This window comes from Homo sapiens, chromosome 12 (assembly GCF_000001405.40).
Source record: "Homo sapiens chromosome 12, GRCh38.p14 Primary Assembly".
Classification (NCBI taxonomy): Eukaryota; Metazoa; Chordata; class Mammalia; order Primates; family Hominidae; genus Homo; species Homo sapiens.
Genome location: NC_000012.12, coordinates 119,504,027 through 119,527,620, shown reverse-complemented (window position 1 = coordinate 119,527,620; position 23,594 = coordinate 119,504,027). Strand labels below are relative to the sequence as shown.

General features: G+C 43.5%; 1 protein-coding gene and 1 long non-coding RNA gene across 12 annotated transcripts in view, besides 1 other annotated feature; one reads left to right on the top strand and one right to left on the bottom strand.

Moving 5' to 3' along the window:
• The window catches only part of CCDC60 (coiled-coil domain containing 60), a 206,312-nt gene that overhangs the window by 13,420 nt on the left and 169,298 nt on the right, over positions 1 to 23,594 (bottom strand). For 5 of the 8 annotated variants that reach the window (NM_178499.5, XM_017018912.3, XM_017018911.3 and 2 more), the window contains 5 exons: positions 22,318 to 22,552; positions 10,914 to 10,998; positions 7,429 to 7,500; positions 4,620 to 4,682; positions 3,803 to 3,928 (listed from right to left, as the gene is read on the bottom strand). In NM_178499.5, coding sequence (NP_848594.2) covers positions 3,803 to 3,928; positions 4,620 to 4,682; positions 7,429 to 7,500; positions 10,914 to 10,998; positions 22,318 to 22,552 — 581 coding nt within the window. Of the gene's footprint in view, positions 1 to 3,135; positions 3,229 to 3,802; positions 3,929 to 4,619; positions 4,683 to 7,428; positions 7,501 to 10,913; positions 10,999 to 22,317; positions 22,553 to 23,298; positions 23,405 to 23,594 lie in introns of those variants that run through there. The other 3 variants (XM_017018915.2, XM_047428445.1, XM_017018913.3) reach the window with 3 other exon arrangements.
• The window catches only part of PRKAB1-AS1 (PRKAB1, TMEM233 and CCDC60 antisense RNA 1), a 280,141-nt gene that overhangs the window by 140,507 nt on the left and 116,040 nt on the right, over positions 1 to 23,594 (top strand). The gene's annotated exons all lie outside the window — the stretch shown is intronic.
• Positions 14,430 to 14,630: a silencer, noted in NCBI's record as "peak2001 fragment used in MPRA reporter construct". NCBI's record gives its function as "represses an SCP1 promoter by STARR-seq MPRAs in K562 erythroleukemia cells {active_cell/tissue: K562}" and the evidence as "EXISTENCE:reporter gene assay evidence [ECO:0000049][PMID:32103011]".

Genomic DNA, 23,594 nt, shown 5'->3' with positions numbered 1-23,594 from the left:
ACCTCCACAGCTGGGCTATCACAGCCTTTTATAATCTGGCTTCTCTAGCTCTCTGATCACCTTGCAAACACTGTATGCCCCAGCCACACCTGACTACTGGCAGTTCCCTGGCTCTCTGTGCCCCTCTGACTTCTGGGACCTATCTGTTGCTTTTCCTTGAAACTCCCTTCCACCCTACTTTTCCAGCATGACTTTTTAAAAATTTGTTTTAGATTTGGGGCTACATGTGAAGATTTGTTACATAGATAAACATGTGTCACGGGGGTTTGTTGTACATATTACTACATCACCCAGGTATTAAGCTCTGTACCCAATAGTTATTTTTTTGCTCCTCCCCCTCCTCCCACCATCCCCCCTCAAGGTAGACTCCAGTGTCTGTTGTTTCCTTCTTTGTGTTCATAAATTCTTATCATTTAGCTTCCACTTACAAGTGAGAACATGTGGTATTTGGTTTTCTGTTCCTGTGTTAGTTTGCTAGGATCATAGCCTTCAGCTCCATCTATGTTCCCCAAAAATACATGATCTCATTCTTTTTTATGGCTGCATAATATTCCATGGTATGAATGTACCACAATTTTTTATCCAGTCTGTCATTGATGGGCATTTAGATTGATTCTGTGTCCTTTCTATTGTGAATAGTGCTGCAGTGGACATTCACATGCATGTGTCTTTATGGTAGGATGATTTATATTCCTTTGGGTAGTATATACCCAGTAATGGGATTGCTGGATTAAATGGAAGTTCTGCTTTTAGCTCTTTAAGGAATAGCCATATTGCTTTCCACAATGGTTGAACTAATTTACACTCCCACCAACAGTGTATAAGGATTCCTTTTTCTCCATGACCTCACCAGCATCTGTTATTTTTTGACTTTTTAATAATAGTCATTCTGACTGGAGTGAGATGGTATCTCATTGTGGTTTTGATTTGCATTTCTCTAATGATCAGTGATGTTGAGCTTTTTAAAATATGCTTCTTGGCCACAATGTATGCCTTCTTTTAAGAAAGTGTCTGTTCATGTCCTTTGCCCACTTTTCAATGGGTTGTTTTTCTCTTGTAAATTTCTTTAAGTTCCTTATAGATGCTGGATATTAGACCTTTGTCAGATGCATAGTTTGCAAATATTTTCTCCCATTCTGTGGGGTGTCAGTTTACTCGGTTGATAGCATCTTTTGCTGGGCGGAAGCTCTTAAGTTCAATTAGATCCCATTTGTCAATTTTTGCTTTTGTTGCAATTGCTTTTGGTGTCTTTGTCATAAAATCTTTGCCCATTCCTAGGTCCAGGATGGTATTGCCTAGGTTGTCTTCCAGGGATTTTATAGTTTTGGGTTTTACATTTAAGTCTTTAATCCATCTTGAGTTGATTTTTATTTATGGTGTAAGGGAGGGGTCTAGCTTCAATCTTCTGCATATGGCTAGCCAGTTATCCCAGCACCATTTATTGAATAGAGAGTTTTTTCCCCATTGCTTGTTTTGTCACCTTTGTCAAAGATCAGATGGCCATACATGTGCAGCCTTACTCTGGGCTCTCTGTTCTGTTCTATCAGTCTATGTGCCTGTTTTTGTACCAGTATCATGCTGTTTTGGTCACTGTCACCTTGTAGTATAGTTTGAGGTCAGGTGATGTGATTCCTCCAGTTTTGTTCTTTTTGCTTAAGATTGCCTTGGTTATTCAGGCTCTTTTTTGGTTCCATATAATTTTTAAAATATTTTTTTCTAGTTCTGTGAAGAATATCTTTTTGGTAGTTTGATAGGAATATAATTGAATCTATAAATTGCTTTGGGCAGTATAGCCATTTTAGTGATATTGATTCTTCCTACTCATGAGCATGGGATGTTTTTCCATTTGTTTGTGTCTTTGATTTCTTTGAGCAGTGTTTTGTAATTCTCATTGTAGAGATCTTTCACTTCCCTAGGTATTTTTGTGTGTATTTGTATTAGCTGATAGCAGTCTTTCCTTTCTATATTTAGTGCTCCTTTCAAGATTTCTTGGAAGGCAAGTTTGGTGGTGATTAAGTCCCTCAACATTTGCTTATCTGAAAAGGATCTTATTTCTTTTTCACATAGGAAGCTTAGTTTGTCTGGATATGAAATTCTTTGTTGAAGATTTTTTTCTTTAAGAATGTTGAATATAGCCCCCCAGTCTCTTCTGGCTTACAGGGTTTCAGCTGAGAGGTCTGCTGTTAGCCACATGGGGATCCCTTTTTTGGTGACCTGCCCTTTCTCTCTAGCTGCCTTTAACATTCTTCATTATGACCTTGGAAAACCTGATGATTATGTGTCTTGGGGATGATCTTCTTGTATAGAATCTTGCAGGAGTTGTCTGTATTTCCTGAATTTGACTATTGGCTTCTCTAGCAAGGTTGAAGAAGTTTTCATGGATGACATCCTGAAATATATTTTCCAAGTTGTTCAGCATGACTCTTTGGGTTTGAATTCTAGCTTTACTACTTAGCCATTGGAGAACCTTTGACAAGAGGCATCTCTGAGCTCACTTTTATCATCTACAAAATAAGTTAATGATAGCACCTACCTCATAGGATTGTTGTGAGCATTAAATGATACATAAATACAAAGCTCTTACATCCATGACTGGTACATAGTAAGTGCCCTGGAAATATCATCTATGTTTATTAAACTGAAAATATTGTTTCCAGCTGTGTGTGGTGGCTCATGCTTGCAAACCCAGCATTTTGGGAGGCCAAGGTGAGAGGACTGCTTGAGGCCAGGAGTTTGACACCAGCCTGGAAAATATAGCAAGACCCTATCTGTAAAAATACCCCAAAAACCAAAAACCAAAAAACTTATCACTCGAGGCTGCAGTAAGGTATGATCATGCCACTGAACTCCAGCCTGGGTAACAGAGCAAAACCCTGTCTCAAAAAAAAAAAAAAAAAAAGAAAAGAAAAGAAAAGAAACTGCTGTTTCCTCCAAGGAAACCTTTCTGAGGGCTGTCCTGGGCCAGGTGGGGCATCCCTTTTGTGTTCAGGCTGCTTCCTCCCACAACATCCAGACCCCTGTGTGCTACTTTCCTGTTTACCTTTCCATCTTCCCTACTGGACTGTTAGCTCCCAGAAGGAAAGGGCAAGGATTAGTCTTCTCCAACCCTAGCCCCAGAGCATTCAGCCCATTAGTGCTGTGAAAATGAGAGTGCAACGGGCTATGATGCAAACTTTGTTGTATAGATGCATTCATCGGGATGGATGGTCTCTGGAGTCAAGGAGTAAGCTAGAAAGGGCAGAAGTTATTGGGTTATCAGAACAGGGAAGAAAAACTTTCAGTGGCTTTCTGGTGCTCTTAAGATCAAATCCCGCATCATAACTCTGGCATTTGTGGCTTGCGTGATGCAGCCCTCATCTACCACTTGTCCATCCTCTTCAAATTCTCCATGTCCCTTCTGGACTTGGGACTTTGCATGCACTTTTCCTTCTACCTGGAATGTCATTCCACCTTCTCATCACACTGCTGGCTCTTCCTCATCCTTCAGGACTCATCTAAAAGTCACCTCCTCAGAGAGGTCTTCCCAGATTTCCCCATCTAGATTAGGTACCTATGCTCTCTATCTCTGTCTCATAGCACCCTGTTCTCTTACTGTAGGACAATGATTAGAATTTGTACCTATATATTTATGGATGCAGTTATTTTGTTTCTGCCCATATTTTCCAGAAGACTGTGAGCTCCCTGAGGACAGAGAACAAGTTCTTCTTGTTTGTGATATAGCCCCAGCACCTGGCACCTGGCAGGCATATAGTAGGTACCCAGTGAATGCTGTTTGAATGAATGGATATATATGTGCGCTTACTTCATGAGGATTTCCATCTTGTCCTGCAGGCAGAAGCCAGCCTCCTGGGCTACGCTGTAAAACTTGGCCCTCATGGTGTTACACACCCCACTCTTGTAGTGGATGTTGATGTCACAATTAGTGCGGCTGTGGACACAGATAAGAAGGGCTTGGGGAATGGAGCCCAGGGATGTCCCCTAGTAACCTGGGTCCCACTCTGGCCCCCCTTAGCCCCAAGGTGCTCTGCATGGGGGACTCCCTGTAGCCACCTGGGTTCTCTGCCCTCACCTGGAGCCTCCCTAAGCATCTCCCTGGATGTAGAAAGGACAGATCTTCCCAATAGCATCAGGATGGTCGTTCAGACCCTATTAAATGAGCCCACAGTGAGACAACTGGTCACTGGAGCCCAGCAAATGTTAAGGACGGGAGATGGAATTTGGAGCTGGGAGATTCAGGCTCAAAGTCCAGCTTCACCACTTCTTAGCTGTGTGGCCTCAGGCAAGACATTTCACGTGGCCAGGTTTCAGCCTGCTCCTTTGTAAGATGGGTTAGTCCTCCTGCCTCATAGGATTGGTTTTGAGGAACAAGCAAGGTAATGAAGACAGAATGCTTTTCATGGTGCCTGGCACAGCGGAGGAGTTTCTTGCCATTGTCTGCATTGCTGCTCAGCTTCTTGACTATGAGTCCCTAAACCTGGGGGATCCCTTGTCCTTCAGCATCATCTACGGCTTTAGGGAGTCTGGTCTGCATTGGGTCATTTCTACACCCCTGGGAAGATAGAGGGTGTGGTCACCATATTCCCTCTTGCGTGGTTCCTTCCATTGCCCTCCTGGCTTACTTTTTAGACTTCTTCTGGACTGGTTGGATGTGGCTTTCTGCACTTGTACTGCTGGATCTCTCACTGAAACACAAAAGGATGGTTTCAAGTTGCTCAGAGTCTGCTTTTCAAGAAAAGGGTGCCCCCAGTGCTCCATGGCACCTGCTAGCTTCCAGGATTCAGGCATGGGAGGTGGTTCTAATCAAGGCACCAGTCACAGAACTCTATGAATTTCTTCCCACCTCTTGGCCTTTCCTCATGCCATATCCCTGCCTGGAGGGTCCTCTTTGTTTCTTTTCTACCTATTTAAATCCTACCCTGCCTTACGGTCCACAGCAAGTCCTGTATATCTGAACTCTCCTGTGTCTAACTTTGACCTTCCGCCTCTGCATATTGTCGGGATTACGTCTTTTCTGGATCTCAGTTTCATTTGTGTAAAACTGTTCTCTTTGTCTGGAGGGTGAATTGACTTAGGACCTTTCCACACTCCTCTCCATGCCCAACACTTAACACTGGACCAGGTGCAGTTTAGTGAAGCCCAACACCCATTTTACCCCTTGTCAGTCTGTGAGCAAGCAGCTCCCTTCTGGATGGTCAGTTTCCTCATCTGTGACCCATCAACTCATCATGCCATCCAACCATTTCTAGGTGTGGATGACTGAATCCTCGTATGGATACCCCCTCCTGTGACTCTGCCTGGGCAAGCTTCCTAGAGGGGGATGAAGAGCCCCTACCCCTGCCCACCACCCCCTTCATGCCTTTCTCCAGGATCCTTGTTTAGGGACTTGGGCTTTCAGCACCATTGTCTAGCACCTTCTCTCTGACTCTGTTTCCCCTTCTTTCTTCCAAATGCTTGGAAAACTGTCTGACCACTTTATCTGTGGCTCTGAGGGAGGGAGTGGTAAGACCGTTTTCCTTTTTAATATGATGTGTGGGTAACCCTTTGCTTCTAGCCCTGTGGCATTTGGGACTTCTTTAGGCAGGCAGGCCTGGCCATTTTCCAGACCCCTCCCCATAGAAAAGGTCCTGCCTTTGCTGGTTTCCCCAGAAGCTCACAGGACTAGACCTGGAGGTCTTAGGCCTAGTAGGCAAATCCTCATCCTACTTGGGTAAGAAGCAGGCCCCCATTAACAATATCCAGATAGCCTTGATTTTGGATTCCAACCAGCTGCCCTAATCCCTGCAGATGAATCCTTTGGGGGAGCATGGTGGCCCTGACCTTCCTCCTGTAGATGGCTCTCTTCTTTTCAAGAGCTTTGACAGTGATTCAGGGAGGAGGTGGGAGGTAAAGAAAGTGGTGTTATTAGGGAGTGATAAGCAAGAGACAGAAATAAGCAACAAAAAACCCGTCTGCCTGTCTCACTCTGTGCCCCCCACCTGGCCCTCTTTGAGTTTCAGCTGCACTGGTCTTTGCTTGGAGCCCCTGAGCCTAAGCTTCCTCCTGCCGCAGGACCTTTGCACACACTATTCCCCCTGCTTGGAACAGCATTCCCACCTTTTCCAACTCATAGCCTAGTCAATTCTCCTTTGTCCTGAAGTTCTCAGCTTAAACATCAGACTCAGTGTTGGTTAGCACCCAACACCCCTACTTCTTTTTCAGAACACTTCACAGTCATGATGTTATGGCTAGCTGTAGGATTATCTGAGAAATGCTTGACTCTCCCATTAGATCAGCAATTCTTGAGCATGGGTAGAATTCAAGGGGTCCATGAATGCAGATGGGAAAAAAGTTGCATCTTTAGTTGAACTAACTTTCAACCAAAATGGAAATTGCAGGTATTTGCCTATCACATTACAATTGTGAGAGATAATTTGAAAAATCATTTATACTCAACACTAATCCAAAATTACAGGAGTTAAGTCTTGTTATATAACGCATTGTGAAAGACACGCATAGATTACCATATTCCAAATTTGATTGTAATATAGCAATCTAGATTACTACGAATTTCTTAGTGATCTTTTATACTGTATAGTACGCATTTAAAAGCATTTTTCTTAAAGGAGTCCATAGATTTTCTCAGACTACCAAGGAGTCTATGGCACATAAAAGTTTATAACCCCAGCCCAGACACAGAGATCCATGAGGGCAGGCTGTGTTTGTTTGTGTTTGTTTCATTTGCTAATGAATTCCCCAAACCTAGCGCAGTTACTGGCACAGATGGGGAATCTAAGAATATTCTCTAAGTGGGCTGGGCTCATGCCTGTAATTCCAGTATTTAGAAGGCCAAGGGAGGTGGATCACTTGAGGTCAGGAGTTTGAGACCAGCCTGGCCAATGTGGTGAAACCCTGTCTCTACTAAAAATACAAAAATTAGCAGGGCATGGTGGTGCATGCCTGTAATCCCAGCTGCTTGGGAGGCTGAGGCAGGAGAATCACTTGAACCCAAGAGATGGAGGTTGCAGTCAGCCGAGATCACACCACTGCACTCCAGCCTGGGTGACAGAGTGAGAGTCCATCTCAAAAAAAAAAAAAAAAAGAATATTCTCTAAATGAACAAATAAATTGGGGTAAGATCTCCACCTCCTCCATTATAAATTACCCAAGTAGAGAGAAAGAGACATAGTCTTGTACCGCGTCCTCCCCACCTCACTTCTCCATGACTAGAAGATTTTAACTTGATGGTATATAATTGTTGGGGAGAAATACCTGAATTCCCACGCCCGGCCCTGCAGTAAAGGGGCTTGTTTCTAGTGAGGTCATAAGAAGGAAAAAGTTCCCTCTTTCCTGTCCCACTTTCCATGGTCTGGGGAGGAGCATCCCTGCAGTGGCCCCTGTAAGTGTGGGCTGCCTTCGGAGGCACCTGCTGCAGGCTCCAGGCTTTCCTACCTTGATTTGAGAGTGGTCTGCATTTCCTTATAAGCAGAATTACTCTTGTTTTGTTTCAGCACTGACAAGATGCTGCAAGGCAAAATGAGTCCTTTAACAAGGCGCTGAATTCATGAAGATTTTGTGCAGTAACTACATGTGGGAGGAGGGGGAATTCTCTTTCTAGAGCAAGAATCTTCAGACTCTACTGAGCACAGCACTCACCTGGAGAGTTTGCTATGAATACAGATTCCTCGGCCACATTTCCTGGGACTTGAATACATTAGGCCTGGAGGGGGGCCCCAGAAGCTGCATTTAGATCACACACACAGGTATACACACACACACACACACACACTCTCTCTCTCTCTCTCCTAAAATTCCCCACCATACAGCAAAATACTGTGACATAATGCCCACCTGAAGTGCTTGTTTAAAAAATATAGCTACTGGCCAGGCGTCATGGTTCACACCTGTGATCCCAGCACTTTGGGAGGGCAAGGCAAGCGGATCACTTGAGGTCAGGAGTTCCAGACCAGCCTGGCCAACATTGCAAAACCCTGTCTCTACTAAAAATATAAAAATTAGCCGAGTGTGGTGGTGCATGTCTGTAATCCCACCTACTCGGGAGGCTGAGGTGGAAGAATCGCTTGAACCAGGGAGGCAGAGGTTGCAGTGATCCGAGATCGCACCACTGCACTCCAGCCTGGGTAACAGAGCATGACTCTGTCAAAAAAAAAAAAAAATATATATATATATATACACACACACACACGCGCACACACACACACACACACACACACACACACACATATATATCACTACCTCTGGATATTCTGATTCAGTGGATTCTGGGATGAGGAGGCGTAGAAATTTGTATTTTTCACAAGTATCCTAACTGCTTCTGATCATCAGGGACACTGCTACCAGATTTTAAGAAAAGCTGTATTTTCAGATGGCTAGGGGGCAGCCCGGCCTTGAGGCTGGGGGCTGGATGTGCTGGCTTGTAGGGATTTCTGCAGGCCCCTCAGTTCGATGTCAGCCTTGATGGGAGCAGATTTGGGATCTAAAGTGAGAAAGGAATCCAGCTTCTAAAGTGAGGGGCAAAAGAGAATCTGCAGCTTTTCCAGCTTTTCCTAACCGTCTCTCTGTAGCTCTGCGTTGAAGCTTTAATGTCTGCTGCCTTAGCAAAAGATTAGGGAGATTTTTTTCCCAGAGGAATTAATGAGGAAGGGAAACTTCAACACATTCTTGCTCTGTAACCATGGTTATTTTATCATTAAATTGAAAGCAGAGGCCATGTGATGGTCTCATGAGAGCCAGGGTCTAGAGTGGTTTTGTCTTTGAAGACCTTATGGAAGTCACTGCTTGTTGCTCTTTGACATATATGGGATGGGGTGATGGTAATGGTGAATGTACCTGTCTCAGCAGGAGAAGATTCCATGGGGCAACATGTGTGAGATAAAAGTAACAACCGTCCCCACCACCATCCCCACCACCAACCTCACTGCCATTTATTGAATACTTACTCTATGCCAGGCACATGCTAATATGTTAAATAAATGCATTATCTGATTAAGTGCTTAAAATGTTTCATTGAACTAGATGTTATTTCCATAACATTAGTAATATTTTACAGGGATAATATTATCTTATTCTCACTACAACCCTTTGGGATTGGCTGCTAATGAGCCTCATTTTACAGAATGAGAATCAGACTCAGAGAGGTGAAGCAACTTGCCCAACATAACCCGGCAATTAGTCATGGCCATGGAGCCTGACCTTAGTTTGTCTGGTTCCAAAGCCAAGCTTTGATGCGACACAATCTCATTTTACAGATGAGAAAACAGAGGTTTAGAGAAAGGCTAGATGACTTGTCCAAGGGCAATAGGTTTTGGATCCACATCAGTCTGACTCCAAAGCCAGTGCTTGTGCTGTGGGTTCTTACAAAGGAAGGAGCCTCATTGAGCTGATGCTTCATTATTATTGTCTGTCTCTAATGCTTATAAATCAGGCACAGCAGTGGGGGCCTTATGGGTCAGCATTGTCTCTGAGTGCCTCCAAGTGCCACCTTCCAGAGCAGCCCCAATGAGAGTTGAGGCAGCAGCCAGCGAATTCATCATTCACAAGCAGAGGCGAGGTGTGATGCATGTGAAAGTGCGCAGTGAACTGTAATTGTGGTAATAACAATAACCAATAAGTCATAGTTGGCATCCCAGTGGGCTGAAGGTGATGATGAACCTCTTCTAGTGCCTCATTTATTTTCAGGAAGGAATTTGCTTACTCAAAGGAATCCACACCTGGGAAGGGAGCTCTGGCTCTAGGCTGTGTGCTCTCTGGGGCTTTTAGAGGTCAGAAGTCTGTGGACGAGGCTTCCCACCAGAAAGCGGATGTCTTAGGTTCAAGTCTGATAGTACCTCCTTATGAGCTAATCATATCGGTTGCTGGCTTGAAACTTCAAAGGATTCCCGCTGCTCTTAGAATAAAAACCAGAATCCTTGAGTTTCATCCCTTTTTGGCTGCATTTCAGTTCCCTGAAGGTGTTGTGGTCCCTTTTGACCACGTTTGCACATGTGCTGCCTATAATACTCTCTTCCCCACCTCCCTACCCGCCCATGCCAGCCTCATCAGGCTGGCTCATTTACATGCTTTATCCAAATCTCAGCTTAAAGCTTCTTCCTTGGAGGAAACTTCTCTGATCCCCATCCCCAACCCAGACTAGGTCAAATGCCATTATTATTTGTTCTCACAGTTTCAAGCTTTCCTTTAATGGACACTTCTCACAATAATAATGAGTACACAGCCCATACATGTTCATAAATATTCACTCAAAGGAGGAATGAATAACCAGAAGATTCCTGAGAAGCAGTGTGGCAGAATGGCAAAGAGAATGGTTTTTGGAATTAGAAATGTCTGGATTTGCCAGGTATGGTGATTCACATCTGTAATCCCAGCATTTTGGGAGGCCGAGGTGGGAGGATCACTTAAGCCATGAGTTTGAGGCCAGCCTGGGCAGTATAGCGAGACCCTGTCTCTACAAAATAATAATAAAAAAAAAATTAGCCAGATGTGGTGGTGTGTGCCTGTAGTCCCAGCTACGTGGGAGGCTGAGTTGGGAGGATCACTTGAGTCCAGGAGTTGGAGGCTGCAGTGAGCTATGATTGTGCCACTGCACTTCAGCTTGGGCAACAGAGCGAGACCCTGTCTCAGAGACAAAAATAAATTGGTAAGAAAGGTCTAGATTAGAGTCATGGCCTTATCATTCACTAGCTGAGTGACCTTGAACTAGTCACATAGGCTCTCTGAGCCTCATTTCTTGATTTGTAAAATAAAGATAATAGTACCTACCTTGTAGGATTATTGTAAGAACTCAGAGAGGTGATACACATAAACAACACAGCTCAGTGCCTGTCACAGAGAAAATGCTCAACAGTTGGCAACTACTACTGTTAATGTGATTGCTATTATTCTAAGCTTTATTTGCCCCAGGAGTCAAGAGCACATACCTGGGTGCTTTTCTTTGCATCCCATTTTCTATTGTGACTGTCCTCCGGGCATCTTCCCGAACCATCTCCAGGAGCTTCTGCAGATCTGATGAGAATATGAGAGGTCACCCTTGACCAGAAGCCACCCCTGAGACAGGATTGTGCAGAACAGGGTGCAGCCCCCCAAACTGGGGTCACCTCTGCTCCTGAGGGTTGGAGATCTGGAGAGAGATTCCACTGGGGTCCAGAAGAGGTGGCTGATAGTGTTGGGCATGTTGCAAATCTGACCATGCCACGCCCCTGCTTAAAACCCATCAGTGGTTCTGTGTTACGTTTGGCTAATGCCTGTAATGCCAGTACTTTGAGAGGTCAAGGCAGGTGGATCACTTGAGGCCAGGAGTTTGAAACCAGCCTGGCCAACATGGTGAAACCCTACCTCTACAAAAAATACAAAAATCAGCTGGGCGTGGTGGTGGATGTCTGTAATTTCAGCTTCTCAGGGGGCTGAGGCATGAAAATTGCTTGAACCTGAGAGGCAGAGGTTGCAGCGAGCCGAGATCATGCCACTGCACTCCAGCCTGGGTGATACAGTTAGACTCTGAATCAAAATAATAACAATAATAATAAAATAAAAAATAAAACATAAATAAATTCTTTCAACACAGCCTGTGAGGCCTGCCAGGATCCAGCTTCTCTTTTTATCCCCCATTTCATCTCCCTTCCCTTCCCCACCTTAAACTCTACTGCAGCCAGAGAGAACTGTTTCCAAAGCTGAGAATAAATCATCTTGCTCAGGAAACCTTCTCTGATCTCCATAGGCCTGAAGTTTTAAACCAGCAATCCACAGGCTGAATTCAGCTTACAAATGTGTTTTATTTGATTCCATGTGGATGCCAATCTTTTAACACTGGAAGATTTCACATGAAAATCCAGACCTCCAGCTTCCCTAGAAAGGAGTCTGAGATGGGACTACACTGCCCCCATTCCTGCTGCATGCTGGACGTGCCTTTAGATAGGCGACTGCTCTCTAGCTCCCCACAGCTCCCACCACCCCTCCTTGCCTTGGCCTAGCTTTTATTTTCATATTTAATATTGATTTTGGCTGGGTGCAGTGGCTCACACCTATAATCTCAGCACTTTGGGAGGCCGGGGTGGGAGGATTGCTTGAGTTCAGGAGTTCGAGGCCAGCCTGGGCAACATGGAGAAACCACCATTTCTACTAAAACAAAAATATAAAAAGATTAGCTAGGCATGGTGGGGTAAACTTGTATTCCCAGCTACTCAGGAGGCTGAGGTGGGAGAATCACCTGAGCCTGGGAAGTCAAGGCTGCAGTGAGCCGAGATCACACCACTGCTCTCCAGCCTGGACGACAGAGTGAGACTCTTGTCTCAGAAAAAAAGAATATTGTTGATTTTTGTATAGTATGGAAATATTTATTCATACCTGACTGTTATGGGTTGAATTGTGTGACCCTCTCTGCTAAGATATGCTGAAGTCCTAATCACCAGGACCTCAGTCGATGACCTTATTTGGAAATAGGGTCACTGCAGATGTAATGACCATTGTGTCATTTAACAATGGGGACCCATCTTGAGAAATGCATCATTAGGCGATTTTGTCATTGTGTGAACATTATAGAGTGCACTCCCACAAACCTAGATGGCATAGCTTACTATACACCTGGGCATAGCTTACTATACACCTGGTATATACAGCTTATTTTTCCCAGGCCACAAACCTGTACAGCATGTTACTGTACTGAATACTGAAGGCAATTATAACACAATGTTAAGTATTTGTGTATCTAGGGATAACAGAAAAGGTACAGCCAAAATAGAGTATGAGATAAAAAATAGTACACCTATATAGGGTACTTATCATAAATGGAGCTTCCAGGACTGAAAATTGCTCTAGGTGAGTCAGTGAGTGAGTGGTGAGTGAATTCGAAGGCCTAGGACATTACTGTGGACTTTATAAACACTGTACACTTAGGCTGCAGTAAATTTACTAAAAATATTTTTCTTTCTTCAATAATAAATTAAACTTAGCTTACTGTACTTTTTTACTTTATAAGCTTTACATTTTTTAAATTTCTTGACTCTTTTGTAATAACACTTAGCATAAAACAAACACATTGTATATCTGTAAAAAATGTTTTCTTTTTTAATATCCTTGTTCTATAAGCATTTTTCTATTTTTTAAAATTTTTTACTTTTAAAACATTTTTGTTAAAAACTAAGGGCAGATGCGGTGGCTCATGCCTGTAATCCCAGCACTTTGGGAGGCTGAGGTGGGTGGATCACCTGATGATGGGAGTTCAAGATCAAGCCTGGCTAACATGGTGAAATCCTGTCTCTACTAAAAATACAAAAAAAAAAAAAAAAATAGCCAGATGTGGTGGCAGGTGCCTGTAATCCCAGCTGCTTGGGAGGCTGAGGCAGGAAAATCACCTAAACCTGGGAGGTGGAGGTTGCAGTAAACCGAGACTGCGCCACTGCACTCCAGCCTGGGCAACATGAGCGAAACTTTGTCTCAGGAAAAAAAAAAAGAAAAAAGAAAAGGAAACTAAGCCACAAACACACGCATTAGCCTAGGCCTACACAGGGTCAGGATTATCAATATTGCTGTCTTTCACCTCTACATCTTGTCCCCTGTAAGGTCTTCAGAGGCAGTAACAAGTAACACACATGGAGCTGTCATCTCCCATGATAACAATGCCTTCTTCTGGCATATCTCCTGAAGGATCTACCTAGGGCTGTTTCACAATTCACTTTCTTTTTATAAATAGAAGGAATACACTCTAAAATTACAATAGAAAATAAAGTGTAGTACTTATATAAACCAGTACCATAGTCATTTGATCGTTATCAAGTACAGTACTGTGTACTGTATATAATTGTGTTATACTTTTATATGCAGTATAAAATGCAGTAGGTTTATTGACACCAGCATCATTACAGACCTGTGAGTAACATAGTGTGCTATGATATCATGATGGCTAAGATATATTAGGCAATAGGAATTTTTCAGCTTCACTCTAATCTTATGGGACCACTGTCGTATATGTGGTCCATTGTTGACTGAAACATTGTTATGTGACACGTGATTGTAGTTAAGTCAAGGTGACATCATATTGGGGTATGATGAACCCTCTATCCAATGACTAGTGTCCTTATAAGTAGGAAAGAGAGATATATAGGGAAAAGGTGGCTATGTGATGACACGGGCTCTAGATTCAAGTGATGCATTTATGAACCAAGGAATGCCAAGGATTGCCAGCACCCACCAGAAAAGGAGAGAACTATTCTCTCCTATGGATTTCGGAAGATGCATGGCCCTATGGACATGTTGGTTTGGATGTTTAGTATCCAGAACTGTGAGACAATAAGTTTCTGTTGTCAGAAATTTTACAGCAGCTGTAGGAAACGCACACACTGACACTCCAAAAAGTTGGAAAATGAAATAGAGATGGAGTAAGTTACGTGCCTCAAGAAAAGTGGGAGAGTGGAAGTGAATGGTCCTGTCTTATGTGGATATATATTTGCAAATCCCTGGATATCTCAATTCTTCCCACTCCCTAACGTGGAATCTGCTTTGATACAAAACCACGAGCTTTGGGACCGCTTTTTCCTAATGTTTGTAGCTGTCCACGGTGCTGAAACATCACAGTGTGAGGTTGTCCCTTGATGACTGTGACTACACCAGAATTTCTCCCCAGATTTATGAACAAGAATTGGGAAGAAGGGACTTGGAGTGAGAAGAGGAGAAAATACACAGACAGAGAGCCATTGGAGATCAGAGATATGTCAAGAAATAAAAGAGAGGAGACTTTTGAGATGGTTTTTAAATAATCCCAGGAACTAAGAAGAAAACTATGACAGCCAACTACTGGAACGTGAGCAACCAAAGGGAGAGCCTTAAACACATATTCTTAGTGGTGCAACCTGATTGCATCTCAAAATGAACAAATATGCTAGATGGCTGTCTCCACTGGATAAAATAATTTTTGATTTTTATTTTCTGTCTTTGTGGGAAATATTGGTGGCTTGCACCATCTCAGAACAGAGAGCAGTGTGGCCGATGTTGGTTTCATGCACTTTTGATAGATCTATCACATTTTCCTCCCTCCTCTGGGGTTCTGGAAGAATGCTATCTTCCCATCTCCATCCATTGCACCTGGTAGGGTGCCCACCTGTGGACTCCTGCAGCACACTGTCCTTCTGACCCCCATCACAGCATTGATTTCATGTGATAGCCAGTTTCTGTTCACTTGCAGGTCTTCTCCTCAGGCTGTGAGTTCCTTGATGTCAGGGGCCACATTTTATTTGTCTTTTTATTGATAGCACCTGGCAGCATGCTTAGCACATGGGGTCTCAGTCAATAGTTGCTAAACGTAAAAGTGAACAACTAGGGAGGAAATAGAAGGAAGGATTTGGGACTATGAGTTAGATTTGGATATCGATGAACGATGACAATACCAGTGCAGACACCTCATTCCTTAGTGGGTACCTGCAGTTGGCTCAAGCTCAGGCGTCAAAAGCCATACCTGGAAGGGAAGCGTGAAGCCCAGTGCTTCCCAAGACCATTTGTGTGTTGTGTACATCCACCTTTGCATATTAATGCAATTACTGGGTGCTAGGGAAAGAATGCCTTCCTTAGTGACTTTGGAGCCATCTAGGCTGTGATAAATGTCAGCATTAAGCCATTTTCTACTCCAGCTCTCAATTTGTGGGCATGATTCCATTTAACCTGAACTTGACCTTTATTTTTGTCTTGTCATGCCAACCTTCCCTAGAGCCACAGATCCTAGAATCTCTGGAGTGTGTCCAGAAGCCTATTAGCAAGGGAGCTGTGATTGGTTCTCCAAGTTTCTTCCCTTCTCTTTAGAACCAAGCAGCAACATCTGACTGCTCTACCACTCCTACCCCCAACTCATAAGCAAACAAGCCTAAGGTTGGGTGGATATGGATATCAGCAAATGACCACAGCGACCTGGCACATCAAGCAGTCCTTCTAGAGCACCAAATGTCAAATTATATCCCCAGAGAAAAAAATCCTGACTTCCTTTCTCCATCTTCCATGCCCAGCCTGTCTAAGAATCTCACCCTTGAATGCCTAAATCCATTTCTTCTTTTTGGGGAGGGGGAATAGAGGAAGTCTTTTTGTTGTACGGGGCTGGTTTGAAGGGAAACATGAGATGGCATAGGACTCATGTTTTTGAGTTATTATTTAAGTGAGTTTCTCCTCTAATAGTTCCAAGACTCAGAGCTTCAAGACCAGCAGGAGGAGTAGCCTGGGCTTTTGTTTCTTGGGAATCTCCCTGCCATTGATTTGGGGAGGGGATCATTCCCCATAGAGGCTGCAACCTGCTGTCTCCAGTGATTTGCATCAACAAAGACTTCATTATGCAGAAACCTTGGAAATTAGACCTTGGTCAAATAGTATGTCTCTTAGAATAGGACTCCTGAATTCAGAATCAATTTGAGGAGGTTTTAGAAGGCAAGAGAGGCTGGGAAATTAATCTACTTTTGTCAAGGCTGTGACAAATTGGATGGAGGTTAAGGTATAAATGGAGGAAAAGGTTTGGGAGGCTAAAGTAGCAAACTTTTCCTCCCAGAGGAAATTCATTTTTTTTCAGTCATTTTTGTGTTCCTACTGTGTGCTAGGATGAAGGTAAATAAGATGTTACTGTTGCACACTTGTGGGGAGCTCACATTCCTTTTCCCCTTCTTTCTTAGTAATTGAACTGTGATTCTTTCTATGCATACAAGGGGAAGCATTTGCTAGCTCATTTTTTCAACATCCTTTGCAGCTGGGCATAGCCCTGTGACTAAGTTCTGGGCAATGAGATTTTAGTAGAAGTGTGGTATGGGGCTCCTGAGAGGATTGCTTAAACTCAGCTGGGAGTGGGCACTTTCGTACTTTGCTTACTTCCTTTTTCTTCCATCCTAGAATGTGAGTGTGACGGCTGGAGTTCTGGCAGCCATAGTGGATTATGAAGTGATGTTAAGGATGACACAGAAGAAAGTGGGGGAAGTAGGATTCCTGATGATCTATGGAAGCCACCTTACCAGCCCTGGACTGATCTTCTTTAATCTGTACAAAAAATAAGCTTTTATCTTTTTTTAAGCCACTGCTTTTTAGGTCTCTGTACTGAGCCATGAGAAGGGCCTACTGGATACAGTGAGATGCATTTTAAGTTAAAATTAATAATTCAATAAAAGCAAATACCAACTACTAAGAGACAAGAGAAGAGGAAACCTGGGTGAATCAGAGAAGGCTTCACAGAGGAGGGAACATTTGAACTGGGTCTTGAAGGTTCAGCAGGAGTCCACCAGACTGAAGGGTCAAGCATGAACAGGCATTTCAAGTAGAGAGAGTCATACAAGAGTGTGCATTGTTTAAAAAGAAGAAAGTGTTTTGATGAGGTTGGAGTGCCCCACCTAAGGTGTGAACTAGCAAGAGCTGACCTGGGCAGCCTGGGGCAAGATCAGAGGTAACGTATTAGAGAAAAGGCAGAGTCATTGAAAGATGTTGAGCTAGAGAGAACTATATCAGATTTTTCATTTAGAAAGTCCCTTCTGACTCAACATGGAGAAAAGTAAGTGGGTAAAGGCAGGACAAGAAGCAGGGAAACTAGTTAGGAGGCTGTTGTTGTTTTCTAGGTGAGAAGTGAAGAGATTCTAGACCAGAAGTCCAAAACTCAGGTGGCCTTCAGGGGCCAGGTACCAAAAATGAGTGACACAAGTTGATGTAAAAAAAAATCAATTTGCTCTCTTGGTCCATCGTTTATTTTTTATTTTTTCCTGAAGACTTGGGTAAAGCAGAGCAATCAAGTCTGACTTGAGGGCCAGATTTCCTGGGTTCAAATTATGTCTTCATCACTCACTAGCTTTGTGACTTAGGGCAAATAACTTAACCTCTCTGTGCCCCAATGTTCTCATCAGCAGAATAGGCATGAAGAAGTTCTTGTGAGGATTAAATGAATTAATGTACATACAAAGGAGCTGATACAAAAATACTTTTAAGTGTTAGTTATAGTTTTATCATCACCATCATCATCATCATCATCATCATCATCATTCTAAAGAAAAAAATAGGGCAAATGTGATAGTAAATGGTCACACACTCAGCCAACCAGAGCAATTAGTGGGGCAATAGGGAGTGATGAAGACTGTGGAAAACTGGAGAACACAAACCCTACTTAAAGGGACCAAGCTCCAGTTGATTGTTGTCATTCAGGGTTGCAGGCCCACTGTTACCACAAGGAGTAATTTATTTTATCTTTAGAGATGGGGTCTGGCTATGTCAGCCAGGCTAATCTCGAACTCCTGGCCTCAAGTGGTCCTCCTGTCTTGACCTCTCAAAGTGCCAGGATTACGAGTGTGAGCTGCCATATCTGGCCAAGAGTGTTTTGTTTGTAAAAAGTCAGATGTTTTAGGTAAAACATCTTAATCTTTAAAAGTCACAGCTACTTTTCAAAAAAACACAAATTTTTGTGTATGCTAAACAAAACATAAGTGTGAGGATCTCCGTATGTGCCCCTAGTTTTCTATCTTCAAGACAAAAGCAATAGGTGTGAAGAGGGTAGGGTTTGAGGGAGTTTTAGGAGACAGCACTGATCAGAGCAGGTGAGTGATTGGATGTGAGAGGAAGGTGGCCACTGGGGACATGCCTGCAGTGTTGCAGGTGCCTAGAGAGATGCTCCATTTACCCCTCCCCTCATTGCAAAGTCTCCTTCCTCTGCTACTCCCTTCTGCCACCAGCGCCAGTGTTCAGTTTGCCCCAGGAGAACCATGGGCAAGCTCTGGGACTGGGGTGGGGCCTTGAAGCTGGGCTATCGCTCTACTCTTCTTATTTAAGAGCAAAGCTTTTAGAGTTGAAAAAAAAAATGAAGACATGGATATAACACCAATAACCACAAGAACACCTTGGAAAAGTAGATCAGGTCTAGTCCCTCCTGTACTGAAAACTTTCCAGATACTTCCTCTTGCACCTGGAATAATTCTGAAGTCTTACTTGCTCCACAAAGGCCCTGCGTGCTCTGGCCCCTGCCTCCCTCCTCAGCTTCAGGTCTTCAGGTCTCAGTTCAAACATCAGACCTGAGAGAGGCTCCCTTGATCACCCTTGCTAATTTAGCTCCATGCCCACCAACGGTCTCTCTCTATCCCAGCATTCTGTTTTGTTCTCTTCCCAGCTCATACTATATGCAACTGCCTTGCTAGTTACAACTTCCTTTTTTTTTTTTGAGACAGAGTCTTGCTTTGTTGCCAGGCTGGAGTGCAGTGGTGTGATTTCAGCTCACTACAACCTCTGCCTCCAGGGTTCAAGCGATTCTCCTGCCTCAGCCTCCTGAGTAGCTGGGACTACAGGCACATGCCACCATGCCCAGCTAATTTTTGTATTTTTAGTAGAGATGGGATTTCACCCCGTTGGCCAGGATGGTCTTGATCTCTTGACCTTTTGATAAGCCCACCTCAGACTCCCAAAGTGCTGGGATTACAGGCGTGAGCTACCATGCCATGCCATAACTTTCTTCTTTATTACTTTATTTTTATAGACATGGTCTCACTCTGTTGCCCAGGCTGGAGTGCAGTGGCACAACCATAATTCACTGCAATCTTGAAATCCTGGACTCAAGTGATCCCCCGACCTCAGCCTCCCAAGTAGCTAGGACTACAGGCATGTGCCACCATGCCTGGCTAATTTTTAAAATTTTCCATGTAGAGATGGGGTCTCACTATTTTGCCCAGACTGGTCTCAAATTCCTGGACTCAAGCCATCCTCCTGCCTTGGCCTCCCAAAATATTGGAATGACAGACATGAGCCACTGTACCCAGCCTAGGGATTTCTTATTTATCATTTGTCTCTTCTAAAATTTAAGTTTGGGAAGGGCAGGTACTCAAGTAACTCAGTTTTCGGTGCACAGTAGGTGCTCAAAAAGTATGTGTTAAATGAAAGAAGAATCAAGAAATCCGTAAGTGGCCAGGAAGCTGAGGTGGGAGGGTTGTTTGAGCCCAGGAGTTTGAGGCTGCAGTGAGCCATGATTATGCCACTGCATTCCAGCCTGGGCAACAGAGTGAGACCCTGTTTCTAGAAAAAAAAAAAAAAAATATATATATATATATATATATATGTATATATATGTGTATATATACATATATATATATATATATGTATATATATGTGTATATATATGTGTATATATATGTATATATATGTGTGTATATATGTATATATGTGTATATATGTATATATATGTATGTGTATATATGTATATATATGTGTATATATATACACGTATATATATATAAGAATCGCATATCTGCTGATGGTCTATCTTAGTTTCTTCCCATCTCAGATACTACTTCTTCTGTTCAGAAAACAGCTTTTCGGGGCTTGGGACCTTTCCCAGCCCCCTGTTGACAGGCAGGGGCGGTGGGGATTTTTCCTGTTGGCAGTCATTACTCTGAACCCTGACCACCCAGTGGACTTTTGCACTTCTGCTCACTTCCATCTTTGAACATCAGGGCCCCACACAGATTCTTGGTCTGCCTTGACCTCCTTTTTCGCCTCCTTGAATCTATGCGACACACAATCCTTGTCACTCAGCCCAGCCTCGGCTGCCACAGGCATTCCAGATGGTGTGAGAGAGAACACTGGCCGCCAGTGTTGTCTCAGTTCTGTCGCTGGACACCACTGAGGGGACACAGCAGATGGGGAGGAAGCAGGAAGATGTCCCGTGCATCAGAGTCAAGAATTTTGTGGTAGGCCACTCCTCCTTCATGTCCCTGTCTTACCCTCTCTTCTTTCTACCTTCTCCATCTTTCTGTATGAATCCTTCTGGATCCTTCTCTTGCTTTTCCTATCTCCTTTTACTATACAAGCTCAAGCCAGAAAGTTCTGAAAATGAATGTTTTATGTGACTTATGGAATCCAGTCATGATTCTATCTAGTAGAGATCCACAGCACCCCACTCAAAATATTGTGCAAAATTGTGTATATGTGTGTGTTTGAATTTTTTTCTTGTGTGAGGGCTCATAGCTTTCAATGAATTTTCCTATTTTCCTTCCCTTCCCCATTCCCCCTTCCCTTCTTCTCTTCTTTTCTCTTTTTGAGACAGGGTCTTGCACCATTGCCCAGGCTGCAGTGAAGAAGCAAATCACAGCTCACGTCAGCCCCTACGTCCTAGGCTCAAGCGATCCTCCCACCTCAGCCTCCTGAGTAGTTGGAACCACAGGCACACACCACCATGCATGGCTAATTTTTTTTTTTTTTTTTTTTTTTTTGAGAGATGAGGTTTCACCACGTTGCCCAAGCTGATCTCAAACTCCTGAACTCAAGCGATCTGCCCACCTCCATCTCCCTAAGTTCTGGGATTACAGACATGAGCCACCATGCCTGGCCTAATTGGATATTTTTAAGGGACTTGTCTCCCTCATATTTTGAGCCACTGAAAAGACTTTTTCAGGGTGAAGATCACAGAGTGGTACAACTTCCATCTATAAAATGTTCAGAAAAGACAAATCAGTAGAGACAGAAAGCAAGTTTGTGGTTGCCTGGGGGCTCTGGGTAAGAAGGGCAGAAGGTTTTCTTTCAGGTGGTTGGAAATGTTCTGAAATTAGATTGTGGTGATGGTTACACAACTCCAAGTTTACTAAAAATCACTGAATTGCACATTTAAAATAAGCGAATTTTATGGTATGTAAATTATATCTCAATAATAAAGCTGTTTAAAAAAGTAGACACCGAATTTCAAAGACAGTATAAAAGAGGATATAAAATATCTCATTAATAATTTTTACATTGGTTACACATTGAAATGATAATGTTCTGTATAAACTGGGCTAAATTTAAAAAAATGCTTTTTTTTGAGATGGAGTCTTCCTCTGTGGCCCAGGCTGGAGTGCAGTGGCATGATCTCAGCTCACTGCAACCTCGCCTCCCAGGTTAAAGTGATTCTCCTGCCTCAGCCTTCCAAGTAGCTTGGACTACAGATGTGTGCCATCACGCCCAGCTGATTTTTGCATTTGCAGTAGAGACAGGGTTTCACCATGTTGGCCAGGCTGGTCTCAAACTCCTGACCTCAAATGATCTGCCTGCCTCAGCTTCCCAAAGTGCTGGGATTACAGGCATGAGCCACAGTGCCCAGCCTAAATAAAAATATTTTTAAAATTAGAAAAGGGCAGTTGGTGACCACAGGCTGTCTCTGTAGGAGAAATGGCTTGGGGCAACCCAAGTTATGGAGTATATTTCTGATCTCCACTGGGGAAAACAAAGAGGTCCAAGGAAATTGAACAAGGATGCGGGATCCCATGTCACCTTTAAATGAGTGGAGGTGGACTTGAGGCAGGAGGGTTTCTTGATGTCTGGCTTAAAGGCAAAGGGTCAGGGTAGATGAGTCAGATCTCAGGTAGGACTTACTCATATACAGAGGTTCTTCATCTGGCTTGGTTGAAGATGACTCATTGTCCTCAATGTCCTTGCTGCTGGTCACCTGGGTGTTCACACTTGGGGGCTCATCCGAGCCAGGGTTCACAGAGATCATGCTGCTCTGGGGAGAGGACCCCCCACTGGCCCGACTCAGACTGAGTGTGGAGCCTCGCCGGCTTGGTTTGCGGTTGGTGACTCGCATTGTGGGAATTTTGAATTTCTTGGTCTAAAGGAAAGAGAAGAAAGAGAGGTTTCAGGAAGGAGGGGGAAAAAGATGGAAGAAAGAAAGAAAGGAGGGAAGGAGGAAGGTGGGGAGGGACAGCAGACAAAAGCAAAGCCTGGGTCTGACTGTGAATTCCTTCTGGCTCTTTCCAAACACCATGAGATATATTCTGGATCTGGAGTGACCTTTTGTCACAAATCGAGATAATGTTAAAATGTGTATTATTTAAAGCAAATGTGGTGGAGTATATTCTATTGAACGAGCTCATGGTTGCCCAAGAAGTCACCATAGGAAGCCAAACGTGTTTTCCATGATGATGTCAAGGCCCAGAACAGGTTTTGACTTTTCTTTTGTAATAACTATTGGAGTTGATTTTCAAACTGTGTATGAGGATGGGTCTAATTTTTTAACCACATCTTGGTTTTGGCTCCAAATTCCATGTGTACACTTCCTAGTCCCCCAGTTGACACCTGGGCCTCAAAGAATAATTTGTAATCATGGAGGTTTTCTAAAGAACACAGAATAGGGAAATTGTAGGCCTGACATTTAGGATGTGAGTGGGAGGAAGCAGATTTGTCTGGTGCAGTGGCATTCTTGGGGGAGGAGCCACGGTTGTAGTGGGCTAGGAGAATTGGATGATAAGTTCTGGAAGGAATTGAGAGGTAGGTAGGGAAAGTCCTGTGGATTTTTAGAAGGAAAGGAGTAAGAAAGAGTACACACAGACTGTCTGTGTGTGTGTCTGTGTGTACCTTCCTGTGAGATTGGTGTCACTTCAGAATGCACTGTTTGGGGTTATGTCCTCGTATAACTCATGATCCAAGTTTCAGCGAGGCTTCCTAACCTCCTCAAGGTCACAGCAAGAAAATAGCAGAACCAGAATTCAGACCTAAGTTAGGTTAATGCCAAAGCTCATTACTATGCCTGGCTTCAAAATACTTCAAAAGTTTTTTTTCAGTGACATCGAAAATGCCCTTTATCCCATGCTAATGATTCTTTATGACATCTAAAATGCCAGGTTTACAAGGGGGAAGAATAGGCCCTCAGA